Source organism: Homo sapiens, chromosome 5, assembly GCF_000001405.40.
Source record: "Homo sapiens chromosome 5, GRCh38.p14 Primary Assembly".
NCBI classification, from domain to species: Eukaryota; Metazoa; Chordata; class Mammalia; order Primates; family Hominidae; genus Homo; species Homo sapiens.
The window spans coordinates 132,526,488-132,541,076 of NC_000005.10; the positions used below are offsets into that span (position 1 = coordinate 132,526,488).

General features: G+C 42.9%; 1 annotated feature.

Annotated features, from left to right (window-relative positions):
- Window positions 279-328: an enhancer, noted in NCBI's record as "active region_23087". NCBI's record gives its function as "activates an Ori minimal core promoter by ATAC-STARR-seq in GM12878 lymphoblastoid cells {active_cell/tissue: GM12878}" and the evidence as "EXISTENCE:reporter gene assay evidence [ECO:0000049][PMID:35858748]".

The window sequence follows — 14,589 nt, forward strand, 5'->3', positions numbered from 1 at the left end:
CTATCTCCTTGTTGGGTGAGCTGGGGTTGACTCCCAGAAGTCAAAGGGCTCCTGCGCAGAAGGCAGAACTGGAGCAGAGGGCTTGGCTCCTCCCTGTACCCTGTGCGCCCAGTGTGGGGGCCTTGGGGGACCCAGACGGGGAAGGCTAGTGCACAGGTACTTCACCTCTGAGGTGGGGACAGAAGGGTTTTAGGATTAACATCTGCCGACCACCAGAGGCCGGTGTTGGGACATGCAGGTGACCCAGAAAACCGCCTCTGCCCGGGGACAGTACACAGAGCGTAGCCTCCCTCAACCCAGGCTTCTGTGTCACACAGGCTTCCTTTCCTTTTCTGATATGTCAAGCCTTAACCTCTTAGAACCTTGTGGGCAGGAGCAGCACTGGACAGCCGTGTGGCCAGCCAGGATCCTGCTCTAGGACTTTTTTTTTGGAAATACCTGCATCAGCCACTAGAGGGAGGTAGGAAGCTGAGATCTTGGGTCCATAGGTGAGCAATGAATTGTTACAAAAGGGCTACAGAAATTGCTCTGTGTATTAGAAATAAACTGCAATTGGGTGAAGAGAGAGGGGGAACTGGCAAGATGGCACAAAGCTGCAGACAGAATGGAAAGGGGGTGAAGAAGAAGAAGTTCTATCACTGTAGCGTGACCACAGGACTTCAAGAATAGGAGCACTAGCGCTCACTTTGAAGTTGCTTCTGCCACAGGCAGATCCGGGTGATGGTCAGCTTGGCTGTGTGAATGGGACTCAGTGGAAAGGACTGCCTTCTGTGGGGTGCAGAACAGGGGCATTACTTTTTGAATGTCCTGATGAGCCACACACAGATCTAACCATGCTGTATCAGGAGAGAGTCAGTGCTAGTCATGCACAGTCATGCACAAGGGAACTTGCAAACACCCTGGCAAAAGCTTTCCACTTGCACGTGAGCAAATAGGAGCTTGAGCCTGTCGTCCAGGTCTTAGGAGCCTGAGAGAGCCTGACTGATGTCTGTGTTACACAAGAGGGGTCTAGGGCCACGAGGCAGCAAGTTAGGAGGAAGAACGTGGGAATCCCAGGTCCAGGGAGCCCCCGCCACCTGCAAACAAAAAATAGGGAAGGAAGGCTTTCCCAGCAGAAGGTAAAATTTGGGTCTGGATTCTGAGGAGAGAGAAGCAGCTGCATAGAGGTGGGAGAAGAGAGAGATCAGATGCCCACTACAATGCCCTGCACTGTAGGATTCTGTCTTCTCCTCCAGCCCACCCTGCACCATTCACCCTGTATAACCATGTCACTCACCATGGAGCAATAGCATCCTAACTTGTTTCTCTGGTCGAACATTACAACCTAATCTGTGCCCACACAAAAGCTAGAGATCTTTTAAAAATGTAAGTTGCCGGGTGCAGTGGCACACACCTGTAATCCCAGCACTTTGGGAGGCCAACATAGGCAGATTGCTTGAGCCCAGAAGTTTGAGACCAGCCTAGGAAACATGGAGAAATCCCATCTCTACAAAAAATACAAAAATTAGCCTGGCGTGGTGGCACATGCCTATAGTGCCAGCTACCCAGGAGACTGAGATGGGAGGATCACCTGAGCCCAGGAGGTTGACGCTGCAGTGAGCTGTGATGGTGCCACTGCAATCCAGCCTGGATGACAGAGTGAGACCCTGTCTCAAAAAAAAAAGTAAGTCATCTGACCCTCCTCTGCTTTAAACCCTCAGGGACTTCCCATTACTAGAATGAAATGCAAAGTCCTTTCTCTGGCCTGCATGAGTCTGCATGAGCCCTCTCTTCCCTCCCTAGCCTCATCTCCTACCTCCCTGCTAATGTGCTCCAGCCATCTGTCTTCCTGCTGTTCTTCAACCACACCAACTTCATTCCTGCTACTATACTTTCACACTTGCTGTCCCTCTGTTTAACTATCGCCAGCCCCCAGGCTTTCACATAGATGGCTCCTTTTCATCATTTAGCTCTCAAATGTCACCTTGTCAGACATATAAAGTGGCCCTCTCTCCCTGGCACTTCCTGAATCTCCCTGGATCACGTTAGTCCCTAGCCCTTATCACATCCGACATGGCCTTTGCTTGTCCAGTGACTCTTCCTCTGCTATCATGTATGTTCCTGGAGGGCAGAACCTTGTCTGTCACCTTCACTATTAATCCTTAGTGCCTGGCATGGTGCCTGGCACATAGTGGTGCTCAATAAATATTTTTGGAAAGAATAAATCTTCAATCAATCCTATTCAGTAGGTTTGATGATCACTTCCAATCTATAGAAAGGAAAACTGACTCCTAGAAAGATTAATTAACTTGCCCAATGGCAGGTAGCAGTAGAAGCAGAACTTAAAACCAGGTAGCCTGACTTTAGCATCTTAACACTGGGTTGTTTTGCTTCTACTACTTGCACTGAAGGCACTTACCACAATTTATAGTTGTTTTATTTGTTTGTTGTCTGACCCTCCTAAATGTGTATGATGCTGCTAGAGCAGGGCTATGTCCTGCTCCCTGCTGTGCCACCAATACTTAGAACAGTGCCTGGCACATTGCAGCTGTGTGAGTATTTGCTGAGTGAATGAATAAACAACCAAATGAACAGACAAGTGAGGGATGACTGTGGAGGAATAGGGGGTGCCAGTGTGGCAGTTTCCCAGGCCCCAGCTGGATCCCAGTGCCCAGTCCAGCTGTACCCACGTAAAGGGATCTGCCAAGAGGTGGCTTTTCGCTGTTGCAGAAGGCATCTCTTGGGGCTGATGACGGTGAGTCTCTCATTCTTAACAGCAAGAGTCACCCTGCTCCATGAATCTTCAAATTTGGGGTCATTTCCCACCTAAAGGCAGAGATTTGGCCTATGTTCCCAACCACAGCTGAGAGTCCAACCTGCCCCTCGGGTGACACACATGGCTCTGGGTAGATCCGTGTATACTGCCTCGATTCTACTCATTACATTATGTCAGCACCTTTTTCAGCTTCTGAGAAACAGGAAGCATCATGATGTGTGGTGGGGCTTGAAGAAGATGATAAGAGACATAATCACATTTCTTTGGTTGGGGCACAGAGGGCTGGGGTTCCTGTTTGCTCTGACTCTAAAGTGTCACCTTTTCCCTTAAGCCAGAATGTTGGAGGATGAGGACTATTTAGACAACCTGCTTTCAAGGGGAAAGAAAAGAGCAGGGATCAGAGCCTTTAAAATTATTATTATGAAACATCATACATACAAAAAAATTACAATCTCTATGTATAGTTTAAAACATAACAAAAACCCATGTGTCCACCACCCAACTGAAGGGAACATTCCCTCTCCCCATGAAGGTGTCCCTCCAACAGCTTCCATGTCCCTCCCCACCAAAGGGAACCATTATCCTTATTTTTTTGGTTAATCATTTATTTGTTATTCTTGTTTTATTATATATATAAATATCCTCTAATTATATATGATTTCATTTTTCCTATTTTTGCCCTCTTTATAAATGGAATCATGTTGGATGTATTTATTTAATATTTGCTTTTACTGGTCAACAAAATGTTTTCAGACTCATCCATGTTGATACATATAACTGTAGTTTATTTATTTACTGTATTTACTTTACTATAATCTTCTAAATGAGTAAGCCATAATTTATTTATCTATTTTATTACTGATGGACATTTTGCAGATTTTTTTTTTTTTTTTTATGATATGGAGTTTTGTTCTTGTTGCCCAGGCTGGAGTGCAATGGTGCCGCCTCGGCTCACTGCAACCTCTGCTTCCTGTGTTCAAGTGATTCTCCTGCCTCAGCCTCCCGAGTAACTGGGATTACAGGCATGTGCCACCATGCCTAGCTAATTTTTTTTTTTTTTTGTATTTTTAGTAGAGACGGGCTTTCACCATGTTGGCCAGGCTGGTCTCGAACTCCTGACCTCAGGTGATCTGCCCACCTCGGCCTCCCAAAGTTCTGGAATTACAGGCGTGAGCCACTGCTCTTGGCCCATTTTGGGGGTTTTAAAAGTTTTAGTTGTTAAGAACATGCTGCAAAAAGTAAGTAAAACTAAAGAAATCTGAATAAGATATGGACTTTAGTTAACAATAATGCATCCATATTGATTCATTAATGTGACATGTATAGCATACTAATGTAAGATGTTAAGGACTGGGTGCTGTGGCTCACACCTGTAATCCCAGAACTTTGGGAGGCCGAGGTGGTGGATCATGAGATCAGGAGTTCGAGACCAGCCTGGCCAAGATGGTGAAACCCCATCTCTACTAAAAAATGAAAATACAAAAATTAACAGGGCACGGTGGCGGATGCCTGTAATCCCAGCTAGGTTGAGGCAAGAGAATTGCTTGAACCCGGGAGGCAGAGATTGCAGTGAGCTGAGATTGTGCCACCGCACTCTAGCCTGAGTGACAGAGGGACACTCCGTCTAAAAAAAAAAAAAAAAAAAAAGAAAGATGTTAAGAATAGGGAAAATTGGATATGGAGTACGTGGGAACTTTCTGTACTATCTTCCCCATTTTTCTGTAAACCTGAAAGTTTTCCTAAAATAAGTTTATTTAAGAAAACAGTCTACTATGATTGTGGTTGTTTATCTCTCCTGACGTTCATGGGCAAGAATTTCCCTAGAATATGCACTAGGTTGAAATTCGGGGTCATAAGGTACGTGCACGTTCAATTTTTTACTAAGAACTACATTTCAAAAGTACCATTTTACTCTTTTGTGGACAATGTGTAAGAATTCCTTTTACTTTACATCCTGGGCAAGAATTGTAATGTCTGACTTTTTAATTTCTGCCAGTCTGGTGGGTGTGAAATGTTATCTCACTGTGGTTTAATTTTGGATTTTCCTGACTACTAATAAGGTTGAACATCTCTTTATATGTTTATTGGCCATTTGTGTTTCCTGTTCTAAGAAATACTTATTCATGTCATTTACCTTTTTTTTTTTCTAGTGGGTAATTTATCTTTTTCTTACTGATTAAGAGGATTTTGTTAGACATTCTTGAAACTAATCCTTAGTCATTTATATATGAAACAAATATTTGTCCTAGCTTGCGGTTTGTCTTTTCACTCTCCTTATGGTAAATTTGATGAATATTGAATGTATCAGTCTTTTCCTTGGTGCTCTGCTCTTTGGGGGTTTTATTTATGAAATCCTTCCATTCCATCTGGAAAGCTCCTATTTGCCTCTCCAGATCTGCTCTCCACCCCCTTTTAGCCTCTGTGTCCTGGGAGGCTGACCAGTATGAACTACATTAATAGCTTATTTGCCCACAGGTTCCCATTGGGTTTGACCATGGGAGCATTGACAGGTGATCAAAAGGTAGGAGGTGCGTGAAGCAAGGTATGTATGCCCTTAGCTCTCTCCTTGCAAGGTTGCTGCAAGCTGGTTGTGTCCCTTGACTTAAGGTCCCAGCTCTTGCCAATTGGCCGTCTGCATGTAGTGCTCTGTATCGCTGTAGTGCTCTGTATCTCTGTGTGCTCTGTATCTCTGAGTTTCAGTAAATAGTCCCTCTCCTGTTGCAGTTCCTGTTACCAGTCGCCAAGGGCTTTGTTTTCCCTACACTCTATTCTTTTATAATGGTCCCTTTATTAAATAAACTGCCTTAAGTTACTCAATATGAGTGTCCCTACTGTTTCCTGCTGGATAAGCCCACTCCCAGGTCATATTTTCTGTTTTTAAATTAGTTTTTCACCGGTCTATCTGTCTACCCCTAGGATTTCTCAACCCTGCCACTACTGACATTTTGGATGGGAGAATTCTGCTGTGGAGGGCTGTTGTGTGTACTGTAGGATGTTTAGCAGCATCCGTGACCTCTACCCAGTAGATGCCAGTAGCATCCCCTCCTTCCCCTCCAATTCTGACAACCCCAAATTGCCAAATGTTCCCTTGGGGTTGGGGAATCACCCTCTGTTGGGAACTACTGTTATAACCCCTTGTCAAAACCACACTTAATTATTAAGGCTTGATATCTAGCAAGACAAGTTCTCCCATTTGGGTTTTGTTTTGTTTTGTTTTGTTTGTTTGTTTGCTTTTGAGACAGGGTCTCACTCTATTGCCCAGGCTGGAGTGCAGTGGTGCAACCTCAGCTCACTGCAACCTCTGCCTCCCCGGCTCAAGCGATTCTCATGCCTCAGCCTCCCAAGTAGCTGGGACTAAAGGTGTATGCCACCACGCCCAGCTAATTTTTTTGGATTTTTACTAGAGATGGGGTTTTGCAATATTGCGCATTGTGGTCTCGAACTCCTGAGCTCAGACAATCTGCCTACCTTGGCCTCCCAAAGTGCTAGGATTACAGGTGTGAGCCACCACACCCGGCCACGTTCTCCCATTTTCAGCTCCTTCTTTAGAATTGTATTGGCTATTCTTGGACTCTCATTTTCCCGTGTACATTTTAGAATCAGCATAGTATGATCATGAAAAAAATGCTTGGGATTTTGATAGGAGTCACATTAAATGTATAAATCAGTTTGCAAATTACAGTGTCAAGTCTTGATCCGTGGACATACTAGGTCTCTGCATTTGCTGTTGTTACTATCTTTCATAAAGTTTTTAAATGTTTTCCATGTTTTGTTAGATTTATTCTTTGGCACTTTACATTTCTTTTTTTTTTCTTTTAGAGAGAGAGAGATGGGGTCTTACTCAGTTGCCTAGGCTGGAGTGCAGCCTCAAACTTCTGGCCTCAAATGATCCTCCTGCCTTAGCCTTTCCCAAGTAGTTGAGATTACAAGCACGTGCCCCCATACCCTTTGGCACTTTATAGTCTTATAAGTATTATAATAATGCTTATACTTATTTGTAATGATGTCTTCTTTAAAATTACATTATCTGTTTTTTGGTAATGTATAATTTGTAATTGATTTTGCATATTTATCCAGCAACTTGCTGAACTCTCTTATTCCTTATAATCATTTGACTGACTCTACGTGTTTTTGAGTTCCATTTTTATCATAGTGTATCATCTGCAAATATATATATGATTTTTGTTTCTTCCTTTATAATCCTCATATTTATTAGTTCTATTAATATGAATGATCTTTTTGCAAAGGCTGGGACCTTTGGTCAGTTTTTAATGGAAACAAAGTTAGTCTCCAGGGACACTAGTACATCATATAAAGCCTCTGTGCAAATTGGAAAAAGATACTTCTATCTGGTATGAAATTGTCATACATACTCAAATATATAATGTCTCTGATGTAAATGGTGCTTCCTGGGATTGTGCAGTGCACAGAGTGGTCCTGCAGGTATTCTTGCATTATTCTTTTTTTAAAGAGATGATTTGAACATATTACCATTGAGCACAGTATTTTCTGTAAGTTTATCAGGTTAAAAAAGTTCCTTTCTATTTTGACTTTGTTAAAAAGTAATTATAATAAATGAATGTAAAATTTCAGTAATGCTTTTTCTGCATTGATATCATCATGTGATTCTTCTCTCTCTCTCTCTCTCTTTTTTGTTTTGTATTTTGAGACTGAGTTTCGCTCTTGTCACCCAGGCTGGAGTGCAATGGCACGATCTCAACTCACTGCAACCTCCGCCTCCCAGGTTCAAGCGATTCTTCTGCCTCAGCCTCCAGAGTAGCTGGGATTACAGGTGCCCGCCACCATGCCCAGCTAATTATGGAATTTTAGTAGAGACAGGGTTTCACCATGTTGTCCAGGCTGGTCTCAAACTCCTGACCTCAGGTGATCCACCTGCCTCGGCCTCCCAAAGTGCTGGGATTACAGACGTGAGCCACTGTGCCCAGCCTGATTCTTCTCTTTAAAAAGTGATTAATGTGGTAAATTACATTAATAGATTTTCTGACATTTAATTTTATATTCCTGAAATAAAGGAATATTTCATATTCCTGACACTTAATTTTATATTCCTGAAAGAAAGACATTACATTAGTTGTTATGTAATGTCTTTTTATACATGCTGGATTTGGATTTATAAAACTTTGATAACAATGTTTATGTCCACATTCATGAGTGAGTATGGGATCATAATTTTTCTTTCATATATTTTCCTCCTCTGACTTTCGTATGCTACATATTAGCTTCACAAAATGAGCTGGGAAATATCTCATTTTGTTTATTTTCTATAAGAGTTTATATATGTTTGGAATTATATGTGACCTGACACTTTAGAAGGACTCACCTAGAAAACTATCTGGACTTGGTGTATTCTTTCAAGAAAGATTTTAAATGACTGGTTTAATTTCTTTAGTGGTTCTAGATCTGTTTAGATTTTTCTATGTCTTCTTGCATCAGTTGTGGAAATTTATGTTTGTATTGGATACATATTTGTGTGCCTTCTCAGATTGCCCTCACTGCCTCCTATCTGTCTCTTTGTCAGCACCAACACCAACACAGCACCCTTAATTTCCAGGCATAGAAGGCAAGCAGAGCCTGACTTCAGGCTCTGCTTTCTGAAGAGACCTGGCTATGACAATTAGTATCAGATGTAATTTTAGGTAACAAACACTTGGAAATGGAACATTGACATTGGATTATTCACTATTTTAAAATAATATGAACCTATTGCTGAATATAAGTAGGTTGATAATAACTTCTGGCAGGCAGTGGCTTTGCAATTTCTTAAGCTTTTAGCTCTGGTTAATTTAGATGAGGGGCAGGTGGACAGCAAGACAATGAAAGATAAAATGACAGGGTTATATGAGAACAATGGTAATTATAAAGATTGCAGAGTACAATGACTCTTCTGACAGCACTGAAGACCTTACCAAAAGAAAATGATAGGCTCATGGCAATCTAATTCTAACTTAACATATTCTCGGAATGCTCGACAACTCCCATGGCAACTTTAGAGGAGACTCTTATTTCCAGCAACTGCAGGGCAAACCGATCTGAAAATTAGGCTCAGGATCTGATTATTTGCAGCCTTTGAAGAGCTTCAAAGGAGAAGAGTGGATTTTGCACATTCTGTGTCAAAGTCAGGGCTCTTATGAGGAAAGGCTGGGACCATGAGACCTGGGATAGAAACATTTGGGTGGACAAACCTAAAACTCTTGAACCTCCAAATTCTCTGAGCCCTCCTTAACTGGTAGAAGCAGACCTTTCCCCCTTGCCAGAGTAGACTAACTTCTCCTTGCCTGGAAACAGAATAACTATTTCACTTGAAACATATACTTCACAAGATGACATTTGTTCTGCCCACAACCCTCCCTCAACACCCCTTATTGCCTCAAGGCCAATAATTAAAGTCAGATCTAAGAACATCTTGTGTTAACTAGGCACCAACCAGGAGACACAAACTATACCAGTTATTTTAATAAGCAGAATTAAATATAAAGAACTGTTAGCCAGGTATTGGAAAACTAGGCAGGCAAAAAGGGAACAATAAGGTATCAAGGAGGTGGCAATTGTGGGAAGCAGCTAGCACTTCTATGTCTGGGAAGCAAAGGGAACAGGTGAAAATTATTAAAACTTATAAATTTGGAGGACGGGCTTTGTGGACCTGAAACTCAGACATCTGTAGAGGGGACACTGCTCTGCATGCAGTGCAGTTCCTGAGCTCAGAAAAGGGGTCCTTTGGGAATGGGATCCAGACCTCTGAGGGGATGCTGATTGGCTGTTGCTGGGGTCTCAGAGGGAAATGAGGTGTGCTAAGGTCGGTTCTATGAATGGTGGAAAAACTGCAAACTATAATCAAATGTTGCTACTAGAGTCAACTACTGCTGCCAGGGTTCATGTTAGGATTAGGATTAGGAATAGGAATATAAGAGGACAGGAACAGGAAACAAAAACAAAGAATAGGAAGCAACAGGAAGAAAAAAGTCCCCTTTTCTTCCTCCAGCCTCCTAGTCTACACCCTCCATTGACAGATCCTAACAGGGTTGCAGCTGGCAAAGGAGAAATTGGTTTGCAGAATCCCAGCTGCAGCAGAGTATAGTATAGTGGGCTTGAAGCTGAGAGACAATAGCTTCACAGCTGACATACAGTCTTGGCAGGGAAGTGTAAGGTGTGCAGGAGTTTACTAATATGTACTGTCAGAATCCAGAATCGAGTGCATCCTGCAGCTGTTTGTCCAGAAGAATATAGAGTTGAATGGGATTGGATTTATTGGTGTGGGTATACTTACGACTCAGAATTAAGTTTTCGCAAGAACAACTGGAGTTAGTCCTAATAGTTTGCTGGAGTGGCTCCTTGAAGCCTGATCCTGATGATGGTGTACAGAATATGAAGTGGAGACACCTGAACTTCCTCCCATAGTATTGAAGAAAAGAGCAGATAGCTCAGAGAAGCAGGAATACTAAAATGGATTTTTTGTATCTGGCCTGAGAACCTACTATCTGAGTATGTTCCTGGAGGACACAGAATATACTCCTTTTACTAACACAGCAACAGATACACTAGTGAAGAGAAGCAGGCATCATTGCAAACATTGGTGGTGGATGTCCCCTGTAAGCTGGGTTGAAGGTGAAAGATGCTGCCAATGACATGGACTCCCTAATATCAATAGGCAACATGAGATCCCTAGAATGGCAGAGCTCAGGTTGGAAGCACTTAAACATTAGAGGCAAGGGGGACATAATTACCACCACAAACAGCAAGGCCATGGTGCCAACCAGGGTGCCTTGACTCTTAACCTTCAGGGATCTATTGTGGTGGCTAAGAAATTAAAGTGTTCCTAGAGACAAGAAACGTTGATAATCAATTAGCATGTATATGTAATCAAGTGGTAAAGGGCTGACATCAGCCACCACAGTGGAAATGCAAGCTCTTCATCCAGTTCCCACATCTAAGGCATTCATAAACCCAGTGTCCATTGATTGAACAGGAGGACTCTATAATCCCACTACATATACATGCAGTAAACTTTCTTTAATCCTTTACCAAAGCGATCTGGAGCCATTCATCAGGATAAGTACACACTAGTATAGGAGATACCCAAACTTTTCAAACATTGTTAAATATGAGGTCTGAGCTAATACTGACACCAGGAAAACCTAAATCTGCCATGATTCTTTGGTAAGAATGGGACTTCCATCGGACAAGTGAAACATGGAGACTCCTAGGCTTGAGTCTTTTATACTCTGGAACTGTTTTTCTAGTTCTTTGTTGTATAAATGGAATAAACATTCTAAGCACCTGGTAGAACCTTCCTGTGGCTTTGAAACTTTTGTAACAGCTCGTTACATTTATAGGCCTGTGCATTTTACTCTCTCTATGTCGTGATCCTGATGGTAAATGTACACAATGATATGAGACCATGAAAGCAGTAGGTCAGCTGGCCACAGGCAGGTACATTGAGATTAAAAAAACTGCTGGACATGGTGGCACTTGCCTATAGTTCCAATTACTCAGGAGGGTGAGATGGGAGGATCACTTGAACCCAAGAGTTTGCGTCCAGCCTGGACAACATAGCAAGACTCTATCTCTTAAAAAAATAAAAACAGTCCAGGCACGGTGGCTCATGCCTGTAATCCCAGCACTTTGGGAGGCTGAGATGGGCAGATCATGAGGTCAGGAGCTCGAGACCATCCTGGCTAACATGGTGAAACCCCATCTCTACTAAAAATACAAAAAAATTAGCCAGGTGTGGTGGTGGGCACCTGTAGTCCCAGCTGCTAGGGAGGCTGAAGCAGGAGAATGGCATGAACCTGGGAGGCGGAGCTTGCAGTGAGCTGAGACCATGCCACTGCACTCCAGCATGGGTGACAGAGTGACACTCTGTCTCAAAAAATAAATAAATAAATGAATGAATAAATAAATAAAAAGACCGGGCACGGTGGCTCACACCTATAATCTCAGCACTTTGGAAGGCTGAGGCAGGTGGATTGCTTGAGGTGAAGAGCTCAAGACCAGCCTGACCAACATGGTAAAACACTGTCTCTACTAAAAATATAAAAATTAGCTGGGTGTGGTGGCATGCACCTGTAGTCCCAGTTACTCGGGAGGCTGAGGCAGGAGAATCACTGGAACCCAGGAGGTGGAGGTTATAGTGAGCCGAGATCATGCCACTGCACTCCAGGCTGGGTGACAAAGTGAGACTCCATCTCGAAAAAAATAATAAATGAATAAATAAATAAATAAATAAAAATAAAAAGAGGGCAGTGTGGTGGCTCATACTTGTAATCCCAGCACTTTGAGAGGCCAGAGTGAGAGGATCACTTGAGGCCAGAAGTTTAAGACCAACCCAGGTCACATAGTGAAACCCCATCCCTACAAAATAATTTTAAAAGATATTAACTAGGCATGGTAGTAAGTGCCTGTAGCCCCAGCTACTGGGGAGGCTGAAACAGGGGAATCACTTGAGCCCAGGAGTTCAGGGCTGCAGTGAGCAATGATCACGCCACTGCATTCCAGCCTGGGTGACAGAGCAAGACCCTGTCTCTAAAAAAAAAAAAAGAAGGAGGATATGGTGAATGAAAACATCTAAAGGGCAATTACAAGTTTGTTGGGTGGGAAAGAAAAAAGATACTGAGACAGAGGGTATAGTGTGGACCAAGGCACAGAGGTATGAAAATTCATGGATATTCTGTGAAGAATAAGAGCTAGCATTCTTTACAGATCATCTCTTTGTTTTTTTTGTTTTTTTTTTTTTTTTAAACAGCCTCATACTGTTGCCCAAAGTGGCACAATCAGAGCTCATTGCAGCCTCACCTCCTGGGCTCAGGTGATCCTCCCACCTCAGCCACCTGAGTAGTTGGAACTACAGATGTGCACCACCACGCCTGGCTACTTTTCTTTCTTTTTGTAGAGACATCTTGCTATGTTGCCCAGGCTAGTCTTGAACTCCTGGACTCAAGTGATCCTCCTGCTTCAGCTTCCCAAAGTGCTGGGATTACAGGCATAAGCCACCATGCCTGGCCTGAACATCTCCACAATAAATGTTTTCCACATACAGTTCTTCTTCATAGAACGTGTCTCTCAATACAATGCTTTCCCACCAATATTTATATTGTAAAAATATTTATGTCCCCTAAACATAAGAAATTCTTTAACCAAGTGATGAGGGGAGTCAATGGACAAAGTCTTTAGGTTTATTCCACATATGATTAGTAGCAAATCAGCGTTCACAGAAGACAATCGGAAAGGCTCTGAATGTTAACTAAGGGGACGTGCAGCATGTTATACAGACAAAGCAACCATTATATTAACTGCTGAGTGATCAGGAAGTACTGTTTTAAATATCTTATATCCTTATTTTACTACAATTAAATAAATAAATACAAAATATTTTGTTTAAATTTTTACACCCTAATGTGTTTTTTCCTTATATACAGGCATTTTACTATGTTTTATGTTTTAAGAAGTTGGTTGAAGATTTTGGGTTGAGACATAATGCATTAAAATTTTTCGCACTTAAAATAATGGGAATGAGGCACCTGGTTAATGTTTTCTTGCCAAGGTTGTTACATGGATGATGCCTGTATTTCTGTATGTCAGGGGTCAGAGGGGGCAGAGGTCGACCTTGAATGACCTGTGAAGGAGCCTGGACTTCAGATGGTAGTGAGTCAGAGGTTTCTATGCACAGCAGTGACACGTGGACATGTGTGTGTGTTGTCAACAGGCTTGACATGAGTTCGAATCAAGTTTTATTTCAGTTAGTTGCAAACAGCCCTGATTGTTTTTAGCTTCTCTGGGACCTGGCAGATTGGTGAGGGCTCATTATTGGGGATTTAGATGTGATATTCCAGTCTTAAGTCCTTATTAACTATATTAGACCCTGATAAGAAAGAGGGGAAAGGAGCTTTTTTGAGAGGATATAAGTGTACAAGGGAAAGGATTTTGTCTGTTTTATTCACTGTTGAATCCTAGCCCCTAGAATAGTCCTGGAGTATACTGGAACTCAGTATCTGCCTAATTGAATCAAGTTGAGATTCAGTCTTTTTGCAAGTTGAGTTTCCTGTTTCCTGTCTCCTGTCTGTCTAGAGTGGTCAGCACCGTGCTGTCCTCATCCATCTTGCTCCCTCACTAGCTCTGCTCCTGATCCTGGGGCTTGGTGCATGCACAAGTTGGGGACCTGGTCCACGGTCCTGACCACCATGCCTGGGTGTGTGCTGGAAGGAAAACACGTCTTCTTCCTCGGAAGGAGTTCCATTCTCCTGCCTGGGAATCTGTGTCCGACTGCTCTGACCCTTCTCCCATGCCCAGAAAGAGCAGGAGCAATTGCTTCACACAGCAGTGGAGCCCAACACTGCAGCAATCCATGCAGATAAAGCCCAGGATAGGAGTACTGGCCTCTAAGGACCTCCAGCACAGGCCCACAGCTGCATCCCACACCCAGCAGAGAGCCTGTGATCAATACAGATTTGTTGAATGAAAGAAAGAGAGAATGGAGGGTCTCTCCTTTGGGTCTATATCAGTTTTAAAATATTTTAAAGAGCATATTTTCTGGATCCTTGAGAAGTTTTCTCAAACAGAAGAATCTCTAGTGATGCTACTGATAGCCATAAGCAGGCAGAATGGAGTGTTGTGCGGCCTGGTGCTGCCCTGCCCCCGGGAATACGGAACTCAGTCTTTCTAATGGGACTGCCCTACCAGTGTCTCTCTGTTCCTTTTGTTATGGTGCAGGGTCAGGTGGGGTAAGAACCCCTGCAGGCCTTGGCAGAGAGGGTTTCTGGCTTCCTCTCTATACTGGCAATGAGATTGATCTGCCAAATTCTTCTCACAGGCTGGGCAGG